General features: G+C 43.6%; 1 long non-coding RNA gene across 1 annotated transcript, besides 1 other annotated feature; it reads right to left on the bottom strand.

Annotated features, from left to right (window-relative positions):
• Positions 341-850: an enhancer, noted in NCBI's record as "NANOG hESC enhancer chr3:71694238-71694747 (GRCh37/hg19 assembly coordinates)". NCBI's record gives its function as "activates a minimal SCP1, AML or CMV promoter by ChIP-STARR-seq in naive H9 embryonic stem cells {active_cell/tissue: H9 hESC(naive)}" and the evidence as "EXISTENCE:reporter gene assay evidence [ECO:0000049][PMID:30033119]".
• On the bottom strand, positions 16,439-18,299 carry LOC105377155 (uncharacterized). The gene is made up of 2 exons (XR_940950.3): positions 18,153-18,299; positions 16,439-17,997 (listed from the first exon to the last, which is right to left on the bottom strand). It is a non-coding gene; the product is annotated as an uncharacterized LOC105377155 (long non-coding RNA).
• Between the last annotated feature and the right edge of the window lie 3,327 nt (positions 18,300-21,626).

Raw genomic sequence — 21,626 nt, 5'->3', positions numbered from 1 at the left:
GTTAAAAACTTGGAGTCTCACATTCGATTCTTCTCTTTGCTCACATGGAACATCCAATCCATCCCTCAACCCAGGTAGCTCCACATTCAAAATACATTCGCAGCCAGGCATGGTAGTTCATGCTTGTAATCCCAGCACTTTGGGAGGCCAAAGCGGGTAGATCACCTGAGGTCAGGAGTTCAAGACCAGCCTTGCCAACATGGTGAAACCCTGTCTCTACCAAAAATACAAAAATTAGCCAGGCATGATGGTGCAAGCCTGTAATCCCAGCTACTCAGGAGGCTGAGGCAGGAGAATTGCTGGAACCCGAAAGGCAGAGGTTGCAGTGAGCTGAGATCGCGCCACTGCACTCCAGCCTGGGTGACAGAGTGAGACTCCATCTCCAAAAACAAAACAAAACAAAACAAAACAAATTCACAATCCAGCTCCTTCTCATCACCTCCACCGCAACCTCCCAGGCCCAGTCCTCTCTTGCCTGGACCACAGAGACCTCCTAACTTGTCTCTCTGCTTTCACTCTTGCCCTTCTGTGGTTCATTCTCCGCATGGTACTAGAGTGATCCTTTTGTCTTGTAAACACAGGCAATTCTTCTGCCCCACCCACCAAAGGTTTCCCATCACAGCAAAATGAAGCCCAAAGTCCTTCCAGGACCAGAAAGCCCCAGATGATCTGGCCCCTGGCTAGCTTGCTGAGCTCACTGTTCTCCTCATTTCCTTTGTTCCAGCCATGCTGGCCTCCTCCATGCCAAGCACACTCCCGCTCTGGCCTCTAAATTCTCCTTGCCTAGGATGCTCTTCCCCAATCTGCTTCAGTGTCTGCAAAAATGTCACCTTATCTGAGAGCTTCCTGGCCATCTGTCTAAAATCACATCACCTTCTGCACCATTTTCTCTCACTGTGCCCTTCTTTGCTTATTTATATGTTTGTTTATCATCAGTTTCTCCTCTACTAGGATATGAGTTCCATGAGAGCAGGAATTATTTTCCTGGCTTTATTCACTGCCTTATTTGCAGCAGCCTGGAGCTTAGTAGGTGTTTAGTAAATATTGCATAATGTGCAAGGCACATAATTATTTTTTTCTAAACATCATTAATTGGGCTTACTACAGAGAATTGAGTTATCTAATGAATTCCCATTTGGAATGAATTGTGTTTTTCCTTTTCTTATGTTGAAACATTTAACTCCCAGGCACATGAAGTTAAGCACATGAAGTAAAAACAAGCAAGATTAGCAAATTAGTGAATCTCGTTTTTTTCATTTTTTAAAATAATAATAATAATTATTATTATTATTAGTTTTAGTCGGAGTCTCGCTCTTTCACCCAGGCTGAAGTATAGTGGTGTGATCTTGGCTCCCTGCAACTTGAGGTTCAAGTGATTCTTGTGCCTCAGCCTCCCAAGTAGCTGGGGCTAAAGGTGTGCACCACCATGCCTGGCTAATTTTTATATTTTTTAGTAGAGACAGGGTTTCACCATGTTGGCCGGGCTGGTGTCGAACTCCTGACCTCAAGTGATCTGCCTGCCTCAGCCTCCCAAAGTGCTGGGATTACAGGAGTGAGGAGCTACCATGCCCAACCTATTTTTTTAATTTTTACATTTTTTTTGGGGGGGTACATAGTAGATATATATAATTTATGTGGTAAATGAGAAGTTTTGATATAGGCATGCAATGTGAAATAAGCACATCATGGAGAATGGGGTATCTGTCACCTCAAGCATTTATCCTGTGAGTTACAAACAATTCAATAACACCCTTTATTTTTAAATGTATAGTTATTTTTGACCATAGTCACCCTATTGTGCTGTCAAGCAGTAAGTTTTATTCATTCTATTTTTCTGTACTCATTAACCATCCCTATCTTCCCCGCCCTCCCATGCCCCACTATCCTTCCCAGTCTCCGGTAACCATACTTCTATTCTCTATGTCCATGAATTCGATTGTTTTGATTTTTAGATCCCACAAATAAGTGAGAACATGCGATGTTTGTCTTTCTGTGCCTGACTTATTTCACTTAACATAATGATCTCCAGTTCCATCCATTCAGATTAGTAAATCTTAGGCCACTTGAGTAAGATTTGGGAAAATACAGGAGCAAGTCGGGCTAGGTCAATGCAATTCCAAAACATGTGGTTGAATTTATGGTATTACTATGAGCTCTTTTGAGTGTGAGATTCAGAGACCCAACTCAGCTTGCATAAGAATAGAAGGAAACTTCTGGCTTTCTTTGAAACTACCAAATTCAAGGCATGGACTTTAGGTATGACTGTATTCGGTCACTCAAAGGATGCAATGAGTGTTCATTCTCCTCTCTACTTCTCAGCAACTCTGCCACCTCCTGTGTTGGCTTTGTTCCTGGGCAGCTCTAGGATTGTGTCTTCCTTATAGCTGTTGTAGCTGATGATAATCTCAGGGAAAGGAGAGTTTCTTTTTATCAGTAGCCCAGCAAAATTTCCAGGACTGAGTCACATAAGACCAGCAGATGAACCAAATGGTGTAGCTCGGGGGATAGAAGTCATTTGTTTGGCAGATCCAAATCACATGCCCATCCTGCACCTAAGGAGAGAGGAGGAATTAAGGTCAGCCCCACTAAGCCCCCCGTGGAGCAAGTGCCAGGTTTACTCAAAGGGAAATCAAAAGAAGGTGAAATGGATGTGGCGAGGGCGAAAACATCCACTGTTCACTCTATCAAGGAAAGAAGATTCTATTTGGCTGTGCGATGTCATTTATTGCTCTTCAACTTAAATTTTTTCAACTATCCTTAATGAGTTGTAATGAGTTTTAAGTCTATCGTGAGCAGATTCTTACAGAAGAGATTGTATATGCATGTTGGACCATGATGGTAGGAGATTTGGAGTACTTGGAGCATGGAGGTAAGGGAGATTTGGGAGACTCAGCAAATTCCTAGGGCCCTTATTGCCTCCGACAAGATTTCTGCTTAAATGAGACAGTATTCTATTTAAGTGAAAAAGTCACTGAGGCTGGGTATGGTGGCTCACACTTGTAATCCCAACACTTTGGGAGGCCAAGGCTGGCAGATCGCTTGAGCCCAGGAGCTTGAGACCAGCCCAGGCAACATGGCAAAACCCCATCTCTAAAAAATATTAAAAAATTAGCCGGGCCTGGTGGCATGTGCCTGTCATCCCAGCTACCCAGGAGGCTGAGGTGGAAGGATCACCTGAGCCTAGGGGGTCGAAGCTGCAGTGAGCCATGATTGTGCCACTGCACTCCAGCCTGGGTGACAGAGAGAGACCTTGTCTCAGAAGGGAAGGGAAGGGAAGGAAGGAAGGGAGGGAGGGAGGGAGGGAAGGGAAGAAAATGTCATTGAATAATTCAGTGTATAATAACTTACTTGGTCTAAGGTCCCCATCCTTCGAACTAGTTTAACCTGCACAGAATTCAGCCTCCATTCACTTCTTCGCTGCCCTTTTGCCCAAGACCTAGCAACTGGATTTCTCAGCCCTGCCAGTGAGCCCAGCTCCCATTCCCTCAGACTGTGCAGTATCATGGTATGAGCACTTGCTTTGGTCTCAAGAAGACATGATTCTAGTACTGGCTATTTCACTCACTATGTTTGTGTTCGAGCCTCAGTTTCCTCACTGAAAAGTGGGCATGATAATATCTATGTCATTGTATTGTGATGATTGAAAGGAAAAAGCTAGAGAAGAGGCCTAGTTCAGTTCCAGGCTCATGGAGGCACTCAGTGAATGATGTTTGTTGAATAAATGAGTAAACCATGCCAGTGGCTTTACCCAGGTCCTGGGCCTTCAGCCCTGCCATGTGCCCCTGTAGTTAAATTTTCTGGGTCTAGCCATGTCATGAACGGTACAAATATTACAGCTAGAATGCAGGGCAATTCAGTCGCAAGTAATAGAAACCAACTCTGACTCAGTTAAGCAAAAAGGGAATTTTGTGTGAGCTAAGGGATATTTCAGAGAACAGAAGGAAAAGCCGAACATTGGACCTGGAAAGCACAGCAGCCAGAGTGAGGTCCAAGATAGATACGACAACCTCACTAGGGCACAAGGGTCAGGATGACTCAGCTCAAGAAAGCTTCTATCCGTGTGTCATTTCATTCACATACTAGGACAGCTCCTGATTGGTCTAGGGTAAACATGTGACCCAGAATCAACCAATCAGGACACCTCTTAAGCGCACAGCCATTGCAGGAAATATTCACACCAATATATTACACCTGGTATGCTACCTTCATTTGTTTGCCCTTCAGATATTTACTGGGTACCTAAATTGTGCCCAGTGCTAGAGTCTGGGATGAAAAAGACCAGTGCCTGTTTGTGGTACCTAACAGTCCAACAATGACTGAATTAGATAGGACCTTTTGGCCCTAGAGTATAAATTGGGATCGTTGTCTCATCAAAACAATGTGCAGAGGCCGGGCGCAGTGGCTCACTCCTGTAATCCCAGCACTTTGGGAGGCCAAGGCAGGTGGATCACTTGAGGTCAGGAGTTTGAGACCAGCCTGGCCAACATGGTGAAACCCCTGTCTCTACTAAAAATAGAAAAATTAGCCGGGCATAGTGTTGCATGCCTGTAATCCCAGGTACTTGGGAGGCTGGGGTGGGATAATTGCTTGAACCCAGGAGGCAGAGGTTGCAGTGAGCTGAGATAGCACCACTGCCCTCCAGCCTGGGCGACAGAGTGAGACCCTGTCTCAAAAAACAAAACAAACAATCAAAAAACAATGTGAACAATGTGCAGAGGGTAAGGGTGGGGTTGGTTCTCCAAAGGAAAATTGAGTCACTATTAGCAGAAGAGGGGCAATGGCTGCTGGCAGGAAAAAGCAATAGCTGTTCCACTACACCTAATTAGTATGTTACTCCATCTTTCTGAGCCTTAGCTTCCTCATCTGTAAAATGGGGATAACAATGATACATGAATGATAGGATTATTTTGGAAGATTAAATGAGTTAAAACATATGTAAGGTGCTAAGAATAGTGTGGAGAACCTAGAATCTGTAAATATTTGCTACCATCATCATCATCATCACGCCAAGCTGCGGCTCTGCGAGTCCTTCTTACATATTGTTTTCATAATGGAAACTCCTGGCCATACCCCAATCCCCCCGCAAGCAACAGGACTTTTTGAGTAGTAATAAAAAAGAAGAGGGAGAAATTTGGCAACTTCCCCTTCTGCAATCACATAGCCAGTGCCTTCTCAGGTTTCCCCTTTGACTGGGGATCTGCAGCCTATACGTGTTAATTTAAAGTGAACTCTCCAAATGGCAACTTGTGCTGGAGCCCCAGGCTGTGCAGACAGAGCCCTTCTCCACAGAAGGTTCCAGGCCGGTGGCTTCCATCCAGCCTTAACCCTGTGCATACTCATAACACAAAACTGATGGAAAGTGATTGAAATGTAAGTTTTTGTTGCACTGAGATGCTAAATTCAGGATTGGGAGCATATGGTTCACTCCATATTTGTTTTCTGCATATCTGATGTTAGCAGTTTCGAACATCGCTGGGACGCTCCCTGGAGAATTTCAGTTCTGTAAATGAAACAATTATTTTGGCAGTTTTGGAGAGATATATTCATAACTTTCATGGTATTTAAAGGGGAAATACACCTTCCCCAAGTCCCTTTTTCCCTTGCCAGATATGAAGAATGAAATTAGAGTGTCGAGGGGATAGAAGGCATAAATAGAAAAATCAGCAGTCAATGTGTTGTGTTCACGATTGGATTTCTAGGATTGACAGTGAGACAGGAATTAAAAGAGTTTCTCTAAATCTGGGCACAGGGAAGCTGTAGAGAACATCACGCCTGAGGCATCACGTTCATTCATTCAATCATCAATTATCTAACAAGCAACTCTGATGTGCTCTTGCTGAAGTCTGAGATTAAAAGAACCAGGATTTATCCTCAGTAACAGTTTATAGTCTATAAAATTGTATAGTTAGGACCCTGTGGTTGCAAGTAACAGAAGGCACTTTACAACAAGCTTAAGTAAAAAAGTGAAAAAGCCTGGGCACAGTGGCTTATTCATGTGCTCACAGGACTTTGGGAGGCCGAGGAGGGTGAAGGCTTGAACCCAGGAGTTCAAGACCAGCCCGGGCCACATAGCAAGACCCCATCTCTACAAAAATGTTTAAAAACATTAGCTGGGCATGGCGGCATGCACTGATTCCCAGCTACTCAGCTGAGGCAGGAGGATCTCCTTTGAGCCCAGGAGTTCAAGACTGCACTGAGCTATGATCACCCCATTGCACTTCAGCCTGGGCCACAGAGCGAGACTCTGTCTCTAAGATAAAATAAAATAAAAAAGAGAAAATTATTATAATGATAAAGTGGTGTCCTGTGGAGCCCAAGTGACAGAAATGCAAGATCTGGACCTAGGAATTAAAAGCTGGGGCCCAAGCAGTTCCCTTGTGTGTCATTTATCTCTCACGCCTTCCCAGCTTTTCCTCTCTGCCTCCTGGTTTCCTGTTTTCTCAATCCACATAGCAGAACATGGTCACCCCCACAGCTCCTGAGTTTTTACATCTCTCTACATTTGAGAGACCATCCTGGCAGGAAAAGAACCTCTTTGACCCAATTCTAAATTCAGGGAGTGAGGCTGATTGGTTCAGTTTGCAGGTAGTTACTCCGAGTCCAATCAACTGGGGCCAGGATGTGGAGTTATGAACAACTTGGTCACTCAAACTGGTCCCTGGACCAGCGATAGCATCTCATCTGGGAGTTTGTTGGAAATACTGACTCTCAGGCCACCCCCTGACCTACTGAATCAGAATCTCCATTTTCACAAGATCCTCAGGTCATGAGTATGCACGTTAGAGCTGTAGAAACAACATAGCTGCCCGACCATCACTCTGTGTATGAGGTGGGCACTTACAGGTTGGTGGCAGCTGAGCAGATAGCTCAGAATGGTTCTACTGCAATAACATACATATGATCAGCTCTGGAGGCTACTTCTGGAGAGAAACAGTACCTCTTAAGAACATCCATAGAGGAGAGTGACTTGGACATTTATCATGGTATAAATGAAATGTTTCATGTCTATGTGATGCTTTCTTAATAGTTCCTGGATTCTGTCTTTCCTTCCATATAGCAGGTGGCAGGCTTCTAATAGGGTTTCTCTGATCTCATATTAAGTCTGGAAAATTCATGCATCCCAAATGGGCCACAGGGATGAGTGGTAAACCTGCCCAGAACAAGAAGGTCCAAATATGGGAGTCCTATGGCATGTCCATGGCTCTTTACGACTGAGCATGGTCTTTTTGGAAATGCTCTTGCACACAGACTACAAGGACCTGGACTCCCAGCCTGGATATTCCAGAGATTGCTTTGAATCTTAGAATACTAACGTAAAAGACGATTCCTGTCTTCATGAGAGTCTTCTCTTTTACACGCTAGAATGGACCTTCTGTGAGAGATCCTCAAGTGTAGGGTGTGTGGCCAGGGTTTTTAGTATTTGTAGTTCATAACATGGCTCACCTGTTGTGTAGGACCAGATAACTCATCTTGCGTTGTTGTTTTTTTTTTTTTTTTCTGCCTCCAAGGCACACAGAAGGTGCTCACTTCATGCTTGGGAATGCTCAGAGCATCCCATCTTGAATGGAAATGAAGACAAGTGAGTAGATTTTTGCCATGACTTTGCAAAGTGTGCTCAATCAGGACTCACCCAACTACTTTCTCTGGAGGCCTGAGACAAGCTTCAAGTGCAAAGCATTCTGAACCCAGACCATTGGAGGAGAATCCAGGCAATAGGTCTCATTTCACTCACTATTCATGTCCCCACTTTATGCCCATCCCAGAATTGTTTGCATGCCTCCAAATACAAAATACATGAGAACAATAGGATGTGTATGTGTACAAGTGTACACACATGGGAATTGTATGTTCAGAATTTCTTTTCCAACAAAAACATGAGGTCAAAATAGTTTAGGGACTCCTAATTTAGAGCTGTAGTTATAAAACTTTTTCAAAGGCAGCGCACAGCTCTATTTACTTAATAAACCTTTCTATAGTGCTTGCTACATGCCAGGCACTGCTCCAGGTATACTGCAAATATGAATGTATTTAGTCTTCATAACCACCTCATTAGAGTAGGTTATGGCAATATCTCATGTGTGGAAACTGAGGCACAGAGCGGTTAGGTCACTTGTCCAGGGTCACCCAGCTAGAAAGAGGAAGCTGGGATATATACCCAGGCAAACTGTTTCTAGTCTTTCAGGATCTCAGACGCTAATTAGGCTGCCCCTTCTAACAAAATCTTACATAAAGCCATATGACCAAACAAAAATAAACAGAGCAGCTCTTGTTTATATGGAGTGAGGAGTATTTTGGCTTTCCTCTCAACTCTTTCCTACATCCTTCTTTTTCTCCCTCCCTCTCTCCCTCCCATCCTTCCTTCCTTCCTTCTCCCTTTTCCCCCTCCTCCCCCTCTTTCTCCTTTCTGTGAAGTGCAAAGTACCCCAGGGAACACAGTTTGCAAACCATCAACCTAATCCAACCTGATAATTTCATGAAAGTTTACTTTACCTTCTAGAGGGGAAGTGGTGGCATGTTTTTATCTTGGGTCACTCAGCTTCTGCATGGCAGAGCTGAAGGGATCTCACTTGCAACTCAGGGGTCTTTCTGCTACCCTAAAGAAGATGTGAGGGGATGAGTTAGATAAGCCTTCCTCCAGGGGCTGCCCCTTTAGGAAAAGCTCTCCTCCTTTCCCTTTTTAAAGCACATTTAGGGCCGGGTGTGGTGGCTCATGCCTGTAATCCCAGCACTTTGGGAGGCTGAGGTGGGAGGATCATTTGAGGTCAGGAGTTCAAGACCAGCCTGGCCATCATGGTGAAACCCCATCTCTACTAAAAACACAAAAATTAGCCAGGCATGGTGGTGGGAACCTGTAATCCCAGCTACTCAGGAGGCTGAGGCAGGAGAATCACTTGAACCCAGGGGGCAGAGGTTTCGGGGAGCCGAGATTGCGCCACTGCACTCCAGCCTGGGCGACAGAGTGAGATTCCGTCTCAAAAAAAAAAAAAAAAAAAAAAAGCGTATTTGGAATGTATGTGTATTAATCCCCAGGTTATAATTCTTCCCTTCTTTTTCCTTGTTGAGTTTTGCATGATTTGCCTTCCAGTTCCTTCCTTTTGCTCAGTTAATTGATTTTACCAAGTTTCCGACTTGAGATGATTTCAGGCAGCTAAAATTTGAATATGACAGACTAGGCTGTAAGGAGATGCAGCCGTGATGCTAAACATCCGCTCAGGCTGAAGAGGCCGTCGGCAGCTACTCATGCTGAAATGACAGGTGCTTTTACTGCGACAGCCATACCTGGTCCTGATTACCCACGTGGAAGTGCAGGGGACGGCTCAGGACCTGTTGTAGCTGCCTGCACACACGGTGACAGGCCACTTACAAAAATTATTTGTGATTTGCACTCTGCTATCAATCGAGATTGAGAGTATTGATCCCAACTGATTGCCAAGGACCAAAATAAAGTGAAAGGGTAATTGACTGCCGTGTCCCCCATCGATCGAGTGCCACAGTTCATTGCCACTGAAATTATTTTCAAGTACTTTGGTTTATCATTCCTAATAAATATAGAAATTGAGTAATCAAAATGACTTACATTCACATCGAACCAAAAGCTTTTAAGGAAGTGTCTGTGTTTAAGTGAGTCCATATTCTACATGGGTTTTCCAATGAAGCCCCCAGGGTCCATTCTGACAGTGCTAGGATGATGCCTGGCTTCAGAAAAAAAAAAAGAAAAATAATAAAGCGTCATCATCTCAGAGGCAGGAATCCCAGGCTCCAGTACTTCTCCAGTGATGTCATAGTAATTGTGGCCCCGGGATTTGAAGGAAGACCGCTCCTAAAGCGTCATGCCGTCCATCTTATTCATAAACGAAGCATGTTTTCCTCAAAGCAGCAAGACCGCTTATTTATTTCATTCCCCTCAGCATTGCTCATAAACGTATAACAGTTGTTTTCAGGTTTACAGCAATGTTAGCAGGAACGTTATTAAATCAAAGTCATCACTAGCCATATAAATATAGATTATATGGTGTGTGGCCCTACAGTTCTGTAGAAATACAGCTTTAAAAAATTATTTTAAAGAAAGATCTAGGCTTCTATTAAGCAGGTGGCTGAAAAGTATTATTGAGATGCCAGAATGTGCTTTGGGAACTGAAGTTCTGTAGCTCAGCCCTATCTAGTAGAAATACAGCCAGAGGCATTTCTGAAAAATACCATGATATGCAAAATCTCACAACAAAAACTACAGGGCTTATGAAGGGAGTGGGGTTAGGGACATAATATTCAGAAACCTTGTCAGCGACCCATAATAAAAAAAGACAGGAGCCTAGTAAAAAGAGTAGCCTGGTTTTACATATTTTAAATGGCTAAGAAATACATAAATACTACAATAAATATGGCAGTTTACCTTGTGAAAGACCTTGGCTTTGCCTGTGGAAGTGGCCTCGGAAGGGTTGCTGCTTACGAGTGATTGGGAAGCAGTGGGAGGAGGGCTATCCTAAACTGGGTGAAAAGTTGCAGCCCCAGATGTAGGCAGGTGTGCTGTTGAACATGTATAGTAAACTGAGGTAGCTGGTGGATTTTGAGGTGTGTTAGCATTTTGTGTATTTCCACACAGCTCGGTTCAGGCAGGTGTAGTTTTCTGAAGTGTTCACCTAGCGTTTCTTGCAGATGTAAGCAAACACAATATTTATGTTATATTCAAATCATATTCTCAATATGTCGGTCATGTTGGAACAAATTTCCATTTTCAAAATAAGCATTATAGTAGAGCTGACTGTATCATAAAAGCCATAAATGGAAACCCCATAATAATTTTACATTTTCTTAATAGCCATATTTTAAAAACTAAAAAGAAACAGATGAAATTAATTTTAATAATACATTTCATTTACCCCAATGTATTCAACATATTATCATTTCAACATGCAATCAATATAAAAAAAATTAATGAAATGTTTTTGTATAGTAGGTCTTTGAAACTGTGTATGTATTTTATACTTACAGCATATCTCAATTCAGACTAGTCACATTTTAAGGGCTCTGTAACCACATATGCCTCATGTACTGAGAGCAAAGGTACAGAGAATAAGAATCTCTGTACCTTGGACAGGGAGGTTACAGATAAAAAATATAAATCAGCAGTGGAAAGTGGAAACTCACTGTAGGGTGCAGGATCTCCCACTTTCTGTTGCCCAAAAATAGCAATTAGGCCCATACTCCAGATCTATCCATCTATCTATATATTTATATATGAGAGAGAGAGAGAGAGAGAGAGAGAGAGAGAGAGAGAGTGAGAGACTGAGACTGTGTGCAGAAAACAAATTCCTATGCTTAAGCCACAAAACAAATCCACTTCATTTATGCCTCATTTTTTATCATAGTAATTCAAGTGTGAAAGCACAGTCTTTGATGGTCATACATATGTCAGTCAACTTCATGAATTCCTCTAGGACAATAACCACGTCTACAGATCTCTTCACCCGCGATGTTTAATTAATACATGCTTGGCATGCAGTAGGTACTCAGTAAATTGACCAAAACCTCATCACCAAGCCAAAAAGAAAAAAAAAATAGAGCCTGGGAATGGTGGCTCATGCCTGTAATCCTAACGCTTTCGGATGGTGGAGCAGGAGGATTACTTGAGTCCAGGAGTTCAAGTCCAGCCTTGGCAACATAGCAAGACCCTGTCTCTAAAAAAAATTTTTTTTTAATTAGCTGGGCATGATGGCACATGCCTGTAATCTCAACTACTTGGGAGGCTGAGGCAGGACGGTTGCTTGAGCCTGGGAATTTGAGGCTGCAGTGAGCTATGACTGGCCACTGCACTCCTGCCTGGGCAACAGAACAAGCGAGACCCTTATTCTTAAAAAAAGAAAAGTCGACAACAAACTTAACACACCAGACCAGGCCCATAAAACCCCTTTTTCTTTTTTAAAATTAATATACTCAGCCCTTAACGTTACTTCATTATTACCTCAGTTGTCATAACTTTCAAAATTCTGTATATTTTAGGCATTTTATGTCAGGAACCCTGTTAAATGTTTCCTGAGCTGACTTTGACTCATGTATCAGGTTGTCATCTGCCGTATGGTTTAAGCTCTTGAATGGCAATTAAAGAACTAGAAAAGTTAGAATGAAATTCTCTTACTCTTAGCTTGTGTGTCTTGCCACTTACTTATTCATTCACTAAGCATTAATAGACCACTTAAGGGTCATTGGTCATCACCTCCCTTCTCATCCTCTATGCTTTGGAGAGATCCAGCATTTCAGTCCCCACGCCCTCCACTCCACCACACACATCATGCGCTTTCCCCATTGGCCTTTGCACATGAACTTATAAACCTGGCTAGGCCAGCGTGGTGGCTCACACCCATAATCCCAACACTTTGAGAGGCCAAGGAGGGTGGATTACCTGAGGTCAGAAGTTTGAGACAAGCCTGTCCAACATGGCGAAATCCTGTCTCTACTAAAAATACACAAATTAGCTGGGCATGGTGGTGAGCGCCTGTAATCCCAGCTACTTGAGGGGCTGAGGCAGGAGAATTGCTTGAACCCAGGAGATGGAGGAGGTTGCAGTGAGCCAAGATTGCACCACTGCACTCCAGCCTGGGCGATGGAACAAGACTCTGTCTCAAAAACAAAACAAAAAACAAAACCCTGGCTAGTCCCACCTCCTGCCTCAGGCCTCAGCTTAGATGTTTCTGCCTTAGAGAGTCCTCCCTGAGGCTCACTGGGTCTGAGTTCCCTATCTCTCCACTCTGTGTCTATCACCCTCCACCATCAATGCACCATTTTATCATTACCTAAAGTATCAGTACTTTGCTGTATCTGGGATTCATTCTAAAGCTCTGTAAGGGCACAGGTTCTATTTCTTGTGTTATGCCTGCAGTGTGCATATCTTCAAAGGCAGAGCTGGAGACCCTCCTGTATGGTCAGGCCGTGATGAGAGTCAGAACCATCACTGAGTGGATAGTGGGACAGATTACAGGAACCTGTAGGCTTCCACTCTTGCAGCCTCCAAAATTGACTTCATACCATAGTCAGAGTGATTTTAACAAATCCAAAGCACATCATGTTACACCCTTATTTAGATACTTTCAGTGGCTTCTCATGGTTCTTAGAATAAAATCCAAGCCCCTGATCCTAGCCCAGACAGCTTTCCGTGGCCCGGCCTTTGCACATCTTTCTCCTTTATCTTATACCACCCTCTTCATTGTCCTCTCTGCTTCACCCACTCTGATCTCCTTTCCCATCCTTGGATGTACAAGCAGGCCTTTGCCTGTGCTGTTCTTTCTGCCTGGAGCACTCTTCCTCCCCCCTCAAATCCTCATGTGTTTGGCTTATTCTCCAGGTTCCAGCTCAGATGTCACCTCCTCAGAGTCCTTTCCTGACCACTTTACCTAAAATGGCCTTTCTCAATTTCTTTATCTCATCACCCTGTTTATTTCTCTCGTAAAACTCGTCTCTACAGGTTATGATACTGTTGATGTATTTGTCTACCTTTCCCCTTTAGAGTATAAGCTTCTTGAGGGTTGGGACCAGGCCTATCTTGTTCACTTCTGCTTCCCTAGCATCTAAAATATCTAGGTTCTTGGTAATATTGCTGAATGAATGAATAAGGTACGTGTGTGTGTGTGTGTGTGTGTGTGTGTGTTTGTGTAATCAAATAGACATGGGCGGTGAAAGAGAGGGAGTCAGCGATTTCTAACTTCGTCATTTTGTCCCACTTAAGCAGACCCTGGTAGAAGGATGCCTGCATTTGGGAAGTGACACCAGGAAACAGTGGTAGAGTAGTGGAAAAGTGAGTAAGGCTAGGGAAGTCAATGAATTATCAAGCTTGCTACCTTGTGGATAACTGGGAAGACCACTTAGGAACCCTGGGCAGCAGAATAGAATGTGTGCTTCAGAATGACTCCCCCCGACCCTCGTGATGCCCCTGTCCCCTGGGGGCTGGGGGAGCTGCAGTACATATCTACCAAATCTTTCTTTCTTTCTTTTTTTTTTCTTTTTGAGATGGAGTCTCACTCTGTTGCCCAGGCTGGAGTGCAATGGCACAATCACGGCTCACTGCAGCATCAACCTCCCAGGCTCAAGTGATCCTCCCACCTAAGCCTCCTGAGTAGCTGGGACTACAGGCATGTGCTACCATGCCTGGCTGATTTTTCATTTTGTTGTAGAAATGGGTTATTGCCATGTGGCCCAGGCTGGTCTTGAACTCCTGGGCTGAAGCAATCTTCCCACTTCAGCCTCCCAAAGTATTGGGATTATAGGCGTGAGCCACCACATCCAGCCTATCAAATCTTTTATAGTCATTAGTTAAGGGTTGTGGCTTGAGGGGAGTTAATTCTCCTGTGCTTCTGGCCCATGGGGTAGACTGGGTTGAACTCTCACAGTAAGGCTGCAGGTAGCTGGACGTCTGCAGAATGCTATAACGGTAAGGCCCAAGGAAATATAGACAAGACACCACCAGCATCAACTGCCCATGTCCATAACCAAAGCAAGGCCCACAGAAAAGGGGCATCCAGATGGCAGGTTGGGGATGAATGAATCAGGCTTGGGGATCTTGAGTATCCCCTGCAGGCTCACCTGCAGGATATCCAGGTGAATATGTCCAACAGGCAGTTGCAAATACGGGTACAGAGCTTAGGAGAGAGGAGGTGGCTGCAAAGGAGTAGAGAGGAGGTGTATTTGACAATCACTGGCAGATGAAGGTGCGCTGTAGCCATGGGGTTGGATGAGATGGCCTTTGTTTGCTGAGCCACATGGCAGTGTGTGCCACAGTTGGGCATTTCATGTCTTGAAGCAGCCTTTTCCTGTTCTCCATGACTCTGCCACATTCTAATTTTCCTCTCATCTTTCCAGCAGTTGGTAATATTTATGGAGTGAATGGGAAGAGGGATGAGGAAGGGCAGGTCGAAGAGCCTGTGCCAGAGGCTGAGGGGAAGTGATTAGGGATATAGATGGGAGAGTGGAGGACGCTGATCTTGGAGCGACAAATCTCAAGAGGGAAATGACAGGCCAAAGTGCTGGGGAAATTTCAAGAATTTGGGTTCAGAGGTTTCTCTTCAGCCAGTAAACAAATATTTTTTACTATATTTCAAATTACCTAAAATGCCCTGAAAAGTAGAAGGAATATATCTTCCTTTAAGAAAGGAGCAAAGTGCTTCATGCCTGTAATCCCAGCACTTTGGGAGGCCAAGGCAGGAGGATTGCTTGAGCCTAGGAGTTTGACACTAGTCTGGGCAACATGGCAAAACTCCGCAATTACAAAAATTTTTTTAAAAATTAGCTTGGGCTGGTGATGCACACCTGTTGTTCCAGCTACTGGGGAGGTTGAGGTAGGATTGCTTGGGCCCAGGAAGGAGGCTGCAGTGAGCCGTGATTGTACCACTGCACACCAGCTTGGGCAACAGAGCAAGACACTGTGTCAAAGGAAAAAAAAAAGGAGCAAAGAAAAGCAGGATTGGTTAGTCCAAAGTAAGTTGTGTCATAAGCCATTGCCACATGACAACCAGCAACAGCATTTCAGTGGCATATTTTAAAAGCATCTATTTAGCTCACACATCTGCAGGATGCCTAGGGGTTAGATGACCAAGGCCAGGACTGGTTTGAATGGTTTGGCCAGGTGACTCTGCCCAACTTGTCCCTCATCCTCCTCCTGGGACTAGTGGGCTAGCCTGGGCAATTTTTTCTCAGGTCAGTGCCAGAAGCACAAGAGAGCATGCCCAATCTCATAAATGCTTTTTCAGCCTTTGGTCCTATCATCCCAAAGACCAAACAAAGATTAACATTCCATTGGCCAAAGCAAGTCATGTGGCCAAACTCAAAGTCAAGAGAAGGGAAAGTACATTCCTATCATGGAGGTAATGGGAGTAGGAAGTGAATGTTTCTAAACCATAATCTAATCTACCACATAAGAATCCAGGGGTCAGAGAGAAAAGAAATTAGGGAAACGCTGTTTAGCTTCCTTCTTGAGTTATTGCATTATTGTTTTCCTATTCTTGAAATTTCCAAGCCCTAGCAAGGGTGCCGTTGACTTGGTTGAGGTCACTGGTGTCAGCAGAATAGAAAGAACTAGTAACAGGGGCTGGCTGCTTCCTCTTCAGCAGAATCCAGATAGGGAACTTCAGAAATTGCCAAGGGACCCACCCCCAAGAGGACATTTGCATTCAGCACTGAGCCTTCTCCTGCCAGCATCATGTGATGTGAGGAGGCCTTGCAATTTCTGCTTATTGTCCCCCCCTCAGCATGGCTGAAGAGTTGAGAGAGAAGTTATCAAAAGGTAGAGAAATATGGAGAATCAATGACTTCGAACAGTTGTATCTCCCCTTTTATCACTGAGGTTCACAATTTTGTATCTTCTGAATCTTAAGTTCCTTAATCAGCACGAGACAAGGAGATAAAAACACATTGCTGCAATCACGGGGGTGAGTCAGTAATTATCATCGAAGAGTACAATTGAAAACACATTTTATTTAAATATTTATCTTAGAGAACTGCTGTTTGAGAGTTTACAGTGCTTCTAGCGGGTGCAGCGGTTTGGGAGCCAGTGACCTCTCATTTCTGGCTCTTTTGATGACTGTAGGAGCCTGGAAGTTTTCTTCCTGGACTCCATCTTCCCCAGCGGTGCTAGTCGCATGGTAATGACTTGATACATTTTTATGAAATGAATAAACTGTAAAATTGGAACAGAACAGCCCATGGAGAGATGAAGGATATGAATGAAATGACATTTAAAACAATTTTGAGTCTTAAAGGTAGAGAGCATCCTGGATTCTCCCCACTTTGAGTGGAGTATAAATTTAAGAGCCTGTGATTTTGTGCAGCATAGGGATTGTAAATATCCCCAAATTACATAAGTATGCCTTTTTTTCTTTACAATGTCAGATATAGAATTTTGTGGGCTCTTCAAAGTAGAGGATGCTCTATACACAAAGGAGTTTGTTCTTTGAATTATCTTTTATTTATTGACAGCTGGGGTGATGCAGGGCTGTTTCCTGTGTTAAGAGAGTGTCAGTTACTTAGCTAATCATATTTATCACCCAGGATTCTTTATTTGTTGATAGCACTGGAGTATATTGGAGTTTTTGTGTGCTACGTGTATATTTCCCTAGCTGCAGTGAATGTGGTTTTTATATTTATGTGAAACTGCTAATGTGTTGCTCGCTAGATCATGAGCAATGGGCTTCTGACAGCTCTGTTCATTAGTCAGCTTGGGGGAAAAAATAAAAGAAAACACATTGATATAGAAACAGAGTGTGAGCCAGCAATTATCATCAGAGAGCACAATTGAAGCCACATTTTATTTAAATATTTATCTTGTGAATTGATTCATACAAAACAAGAAGCTGTTTTTTATTTATGAATGGCTTCACCGCCGAAATTTGAAGAGCAGGAACGCTATTCGAGTTGGGTTTGATGCAGTCCACAGCTCAGAGTAAGGAGAGCTAAATAACGTCAAATTATTCATTGTGATATATCATTAAGATTGTTATGTGTGAATGTGTAGAAAGATGATAACACCGTGCAGCTGTTCACTTCAGAATCCCAACTTTGCATAGTAAGAAGAAGAAGAAAAAAAGCTCATGGATAACTTTTAGTATCAATAATAATAGCAAGTGTTTACAGATGCTAGATAATTTTTACTACCAATAATAATAATAGCAAATGTTACAGATGTTAACCACCTGCGAATTGCTCTTCTAAATGCATTATATGTGTTAACCCTATCAAGTACTCTTTTTACCCCCGCGTTACACAACAAGGTTAAAACATTTAGCAAAGTTTGCATTAGAGTGAAGTACCATTTATAGGACAGGATTTCTGGGGGTGCCGCTGAAAGACCTGACTACTTGCCAGTTCCAGTTCCTTTCTGGCACCTCTTAATGGTGATTGGTCACTACAGCGTCAATATTAATGGGGAGGATTCTGGGTCCTGTGTCTTGCTAGGATTTCCAGGGACGGCAATTCCAGAAGTTTTCCGATTAGTTGGCATCCGTTTAATTAGCCCATCTAGGAAGATGAGTCAGGAGAGTTCTGATGATGTGGGGATCCGCCACCCTCCTTCCCAAAACAGGGTCTTTAGATATTTTGCCACCTGACCTCACCCTTCCTTCTCCCTGCAACCACCTTCACCCTCAATATACAGGGAAAGAACTTTAGCTCACCTTTGTTTGACAGTTAGATTGTGGACAGGAGGCGGGCGTGGTGGCTCACGCATGTAATCCCAGCACTTTGGAAGGCCGAGGCAGGCAAATCACTGGAGGTCTGGAGTTCAAGACCATTCTGGCCAACATGGAGAAACCCCGTCTCTACTGCAAATACAAAAAATTAGTTGGGTGTGGTGGTGCATGCCTGTAATTCTAGTTACTCGGGAGGCTGAGGCAGGAGAATAGCTTGAATCCAGGAGGCAGGGAGGTTGCAGTGAGCCAAGATTGCACCACTGCACTCCAGCCTGGGTGACAGAGAGAGACTGTCTCAAAAACAAAAACGGGCCGGGCGCAGTGGCTCACGCCTGTAATCCCAGCACTTTGGGAGGCCGAGGTGGGCGGATCACGAGGTCAGGAGATTGAGACCTTCCTGGCTAACACAGTGAAACCCCGTCTCTACTAAAAATACAAAAAAAAAAAAATTAGCCGGGCGTGGTGGTGGGTGCTTGTAGTCCAAGCTACTCGGAGGCTGAGGCAGGAGAATGGTGTGAACCCAGGAGGCGGAGCTTGCAGTGAGCAGAGATCATGCCACTGTATTCCAGCCTGGGCAACAGAGTGAGACTCTGTCTCAAAAACAAAAAGAAAAAAAACAAAACAAACAACAACAACAACAAACAAACAAAAAAACAAGAAAGAAAGATTGTGGACAGGAGTTCAATCACCAATGGCGTTTTAGGACTTTGCATTATTATAGATATTTACTGTGCTATAAGTTTAAAAATTAATCCTCTATAGTTGGACCTTGAGATTATTTGCAATTCGCCAACATGACATTGCAAGCATCTTTGACTGGACAGCTTTGCATACCTTTCTTACTGCTCTTTTAGGACAAATCCCTAGATGTGCTATTTTTGGGTTAAGGCTTTTCATACACATTGTGTTTGCCCTCCAAAAAGTTTGAACCTGTTTATGTTCCAGCCATTATGGAATGTGAGTGCTACACCTGTGGTTGTTCCATGTAATGAATGCAAAGCTGGAGAGAAGCAGGCAGGCTGTTGAGTGCATGAATTCAGGAATAAACACCAAGATAAGTGTGTTCAGACTATGGGTTGTCAATGACAGCAATTAATTTGGCAAAACAGAGAATTTTGGAAAGAAATGGTATTAGTTCAGCAAGTCGTATGTAGAAAAAAGTGCAATTGATACGGCTTGGCTGTGTCCCCACCCAAATCTCATCTTGAATTGTAGCTCCCATAATTCCCATGTGTTGTGGGAGGGACTGGTGGGAGATAATTGAATCTTGGGTGCGGTTTCCCTCATACTGTTCTCGTGTTAGTGAATAAGTCTCATGAGATCTGATGATTTTATAAGGGGTTTCCCCTTTCTTTGGCTCTCATTCTCTCTTGCCTGCTGCCATGTAAGACGTGGATTTGCTCCTCCTTGCCTTCCACCATGATTGTAAGGCCTCCCTGGCCATGTAGAACTGTGAGTCAATTAAACGTCTTTCCTTTATACATTACCCAGTCTTGACTATGTCTTTATTAGCAGCATGAGAACAAACTAATACAGCACTAAAGGGGAAGATAAGGGACTCAATGCACCATTTTGTGTGAGCACTTGGGACCTGTGGAAGAAACCTAAAGTGAAATCTTACAAAGAAATAAGGATTTAGGAAAGAGACCGCGAAAATGAAACATTGTAGATATTGTATAGGTCATAGGAGATAGAGGAAAAGGAACAAGAAAAGATAAGCCTGATATAAACAAATGAAGTTATAAATAAGAGGAAAAAAAGAAAGGACTAGCTTTCTATTGCATATGTTGGAAGGATACCTTCAGACCAGATGGGTTTCACAATTTTGGTATTAAAAAAAGTCCTGCCTGAAAACAGTGGGGTGTGGGGTGTAGCATCACTTCCTTCTAGGAGCTGGTTTGGATATTCCAGTTACTAAGTATACCCAGAGGTACTAAAATCTGGGCACTGACTCATGGGAACCAAACTCACAAGAAACTGATGTATGAAGCCAGACTGCAATTCATTTATAATGCTATCTGCAGCTACAAAAGGCACCATATTCTCATTCTCACTGGACTCTATATTGTTTGCCTAGGGACAGAGCTTCATGTGAAGCCACATTATGATTAGAAGTTGCTTTGTAAGTATAGTCATAGGAAGGAAATTAGTCTAGTGGCCTTAAAAAGTAGTGTGTTAGTTGAGACTCTCTCAGAGATCAATGATTAGAAATCAAACTTAAATTTAAGTAAAGAAGGAAATTATTTACTCATTTGACTGGGAAGAAATGGGTTCTGGCAAAGTTGGACTCAGGAGTTCAAACAATATCACCTAGACTTTGCTTCTCTACCATTCAGTCCACTGAAGGATGGATGCTCTATGCTGGTAAGGAATTTGTCTCTATGGCCCCTTGTTCCTAAGCCATTGCTCAAGGAGGATTTGTTGAATAGTTCAGAAAACAAGTTCTTAAGCCAAGACATTCTTTCTTCAGTCAGTGCTAAAAAGTAACTGCTAAATTTTATCCCCCTGAAGAAACTCTATAAAGAGGCCCAAATCTTCCTGATCATAAGAATCATTTTCAAATATCAATTTCTAGCTCTCTTTCCTGGAGAATCACTGTAGCAGGTTTGGTGGGACCCAAAAGTCTGTGTTTTTAACCAAATGTCTAGGCATTCTTTTTTTGAGACAGAGTCTCACTCTGTTGCCCCGGCTAGAGTACAGTGGCATGATCTTGTCTCACTCCAGCCTCCCCGTCCTGGGCTCAAGCAATCCTCCCAGCTCAGGCTCCTGGGTGGTTGAGACTACAGGCATGCACCACCATGCCTGCCTAATTTTTGTATTTTTAATAGAGACAGGGTTTTGCCATGTTGCCCAGGCTGGTCTTGAACTTCTGGCCTTACGTGATCTGCCTGCCTCAGCCTCCTAAAGTGCTGGGATTACAGATGTGAGCCACTGCACCCGGCCTCTGGGCATTCTTTTATTTTTTGAGACGGAGTTTCACTCTTGCTGCCCAGGCTGGAGTCCAATGGCACCATCTCGGCTCACTGCAGCCTCTGCCTCCCCAGTTCAAGTGATTCTCCTGCCTCAGCCTCCCAAGTAGTGGGGATTATAGGCATGCACCACCACACCCGGCTAATTTCGTATTTTTAGTAGAGACAGGGTTTCTCCATGTTGGTCAGGATGGTCTCAAACACCTGATCTCAGGTGATCCGCCCGCCTCAGCCTCCCAAAGTATTGGGATTACAGGTGTGAGCCACTGCACCTGGCCCTGGGCATTCTTATGTTTAGGAGAGGAGAGGGAGAGACATTGATTCAGACCAGCACTTCTCAGATGTTAGCGTGCATACAAATAATTTGGGGCTCTCGTTAAAGTGCGGGCTCTGATTCAGTAGGTCCGAGGCAGGGATCAGATCAATCCTTCCTTCCTTCCTTCCTTCCTTCCTTCTTTCCTTTTTTTTTTTTTATTGAGATGGCATCTCA

The sequence above is a fragment of the Homo sapiens genome, chromosome 3 (assembly GCF_000001405.40).
Source record: "Homo sapiens chromosome 3, GRCh38.p14 Primary Assembly".
Lineage (NCBI taxonomy): Eukaryota > Metazoa > Chordata > Mammalia > Primates > Hominidae > Homo > Homo sapiens.
This window is presented reverse-complemented; position numbering and strand designations above follow the sequence as displayed.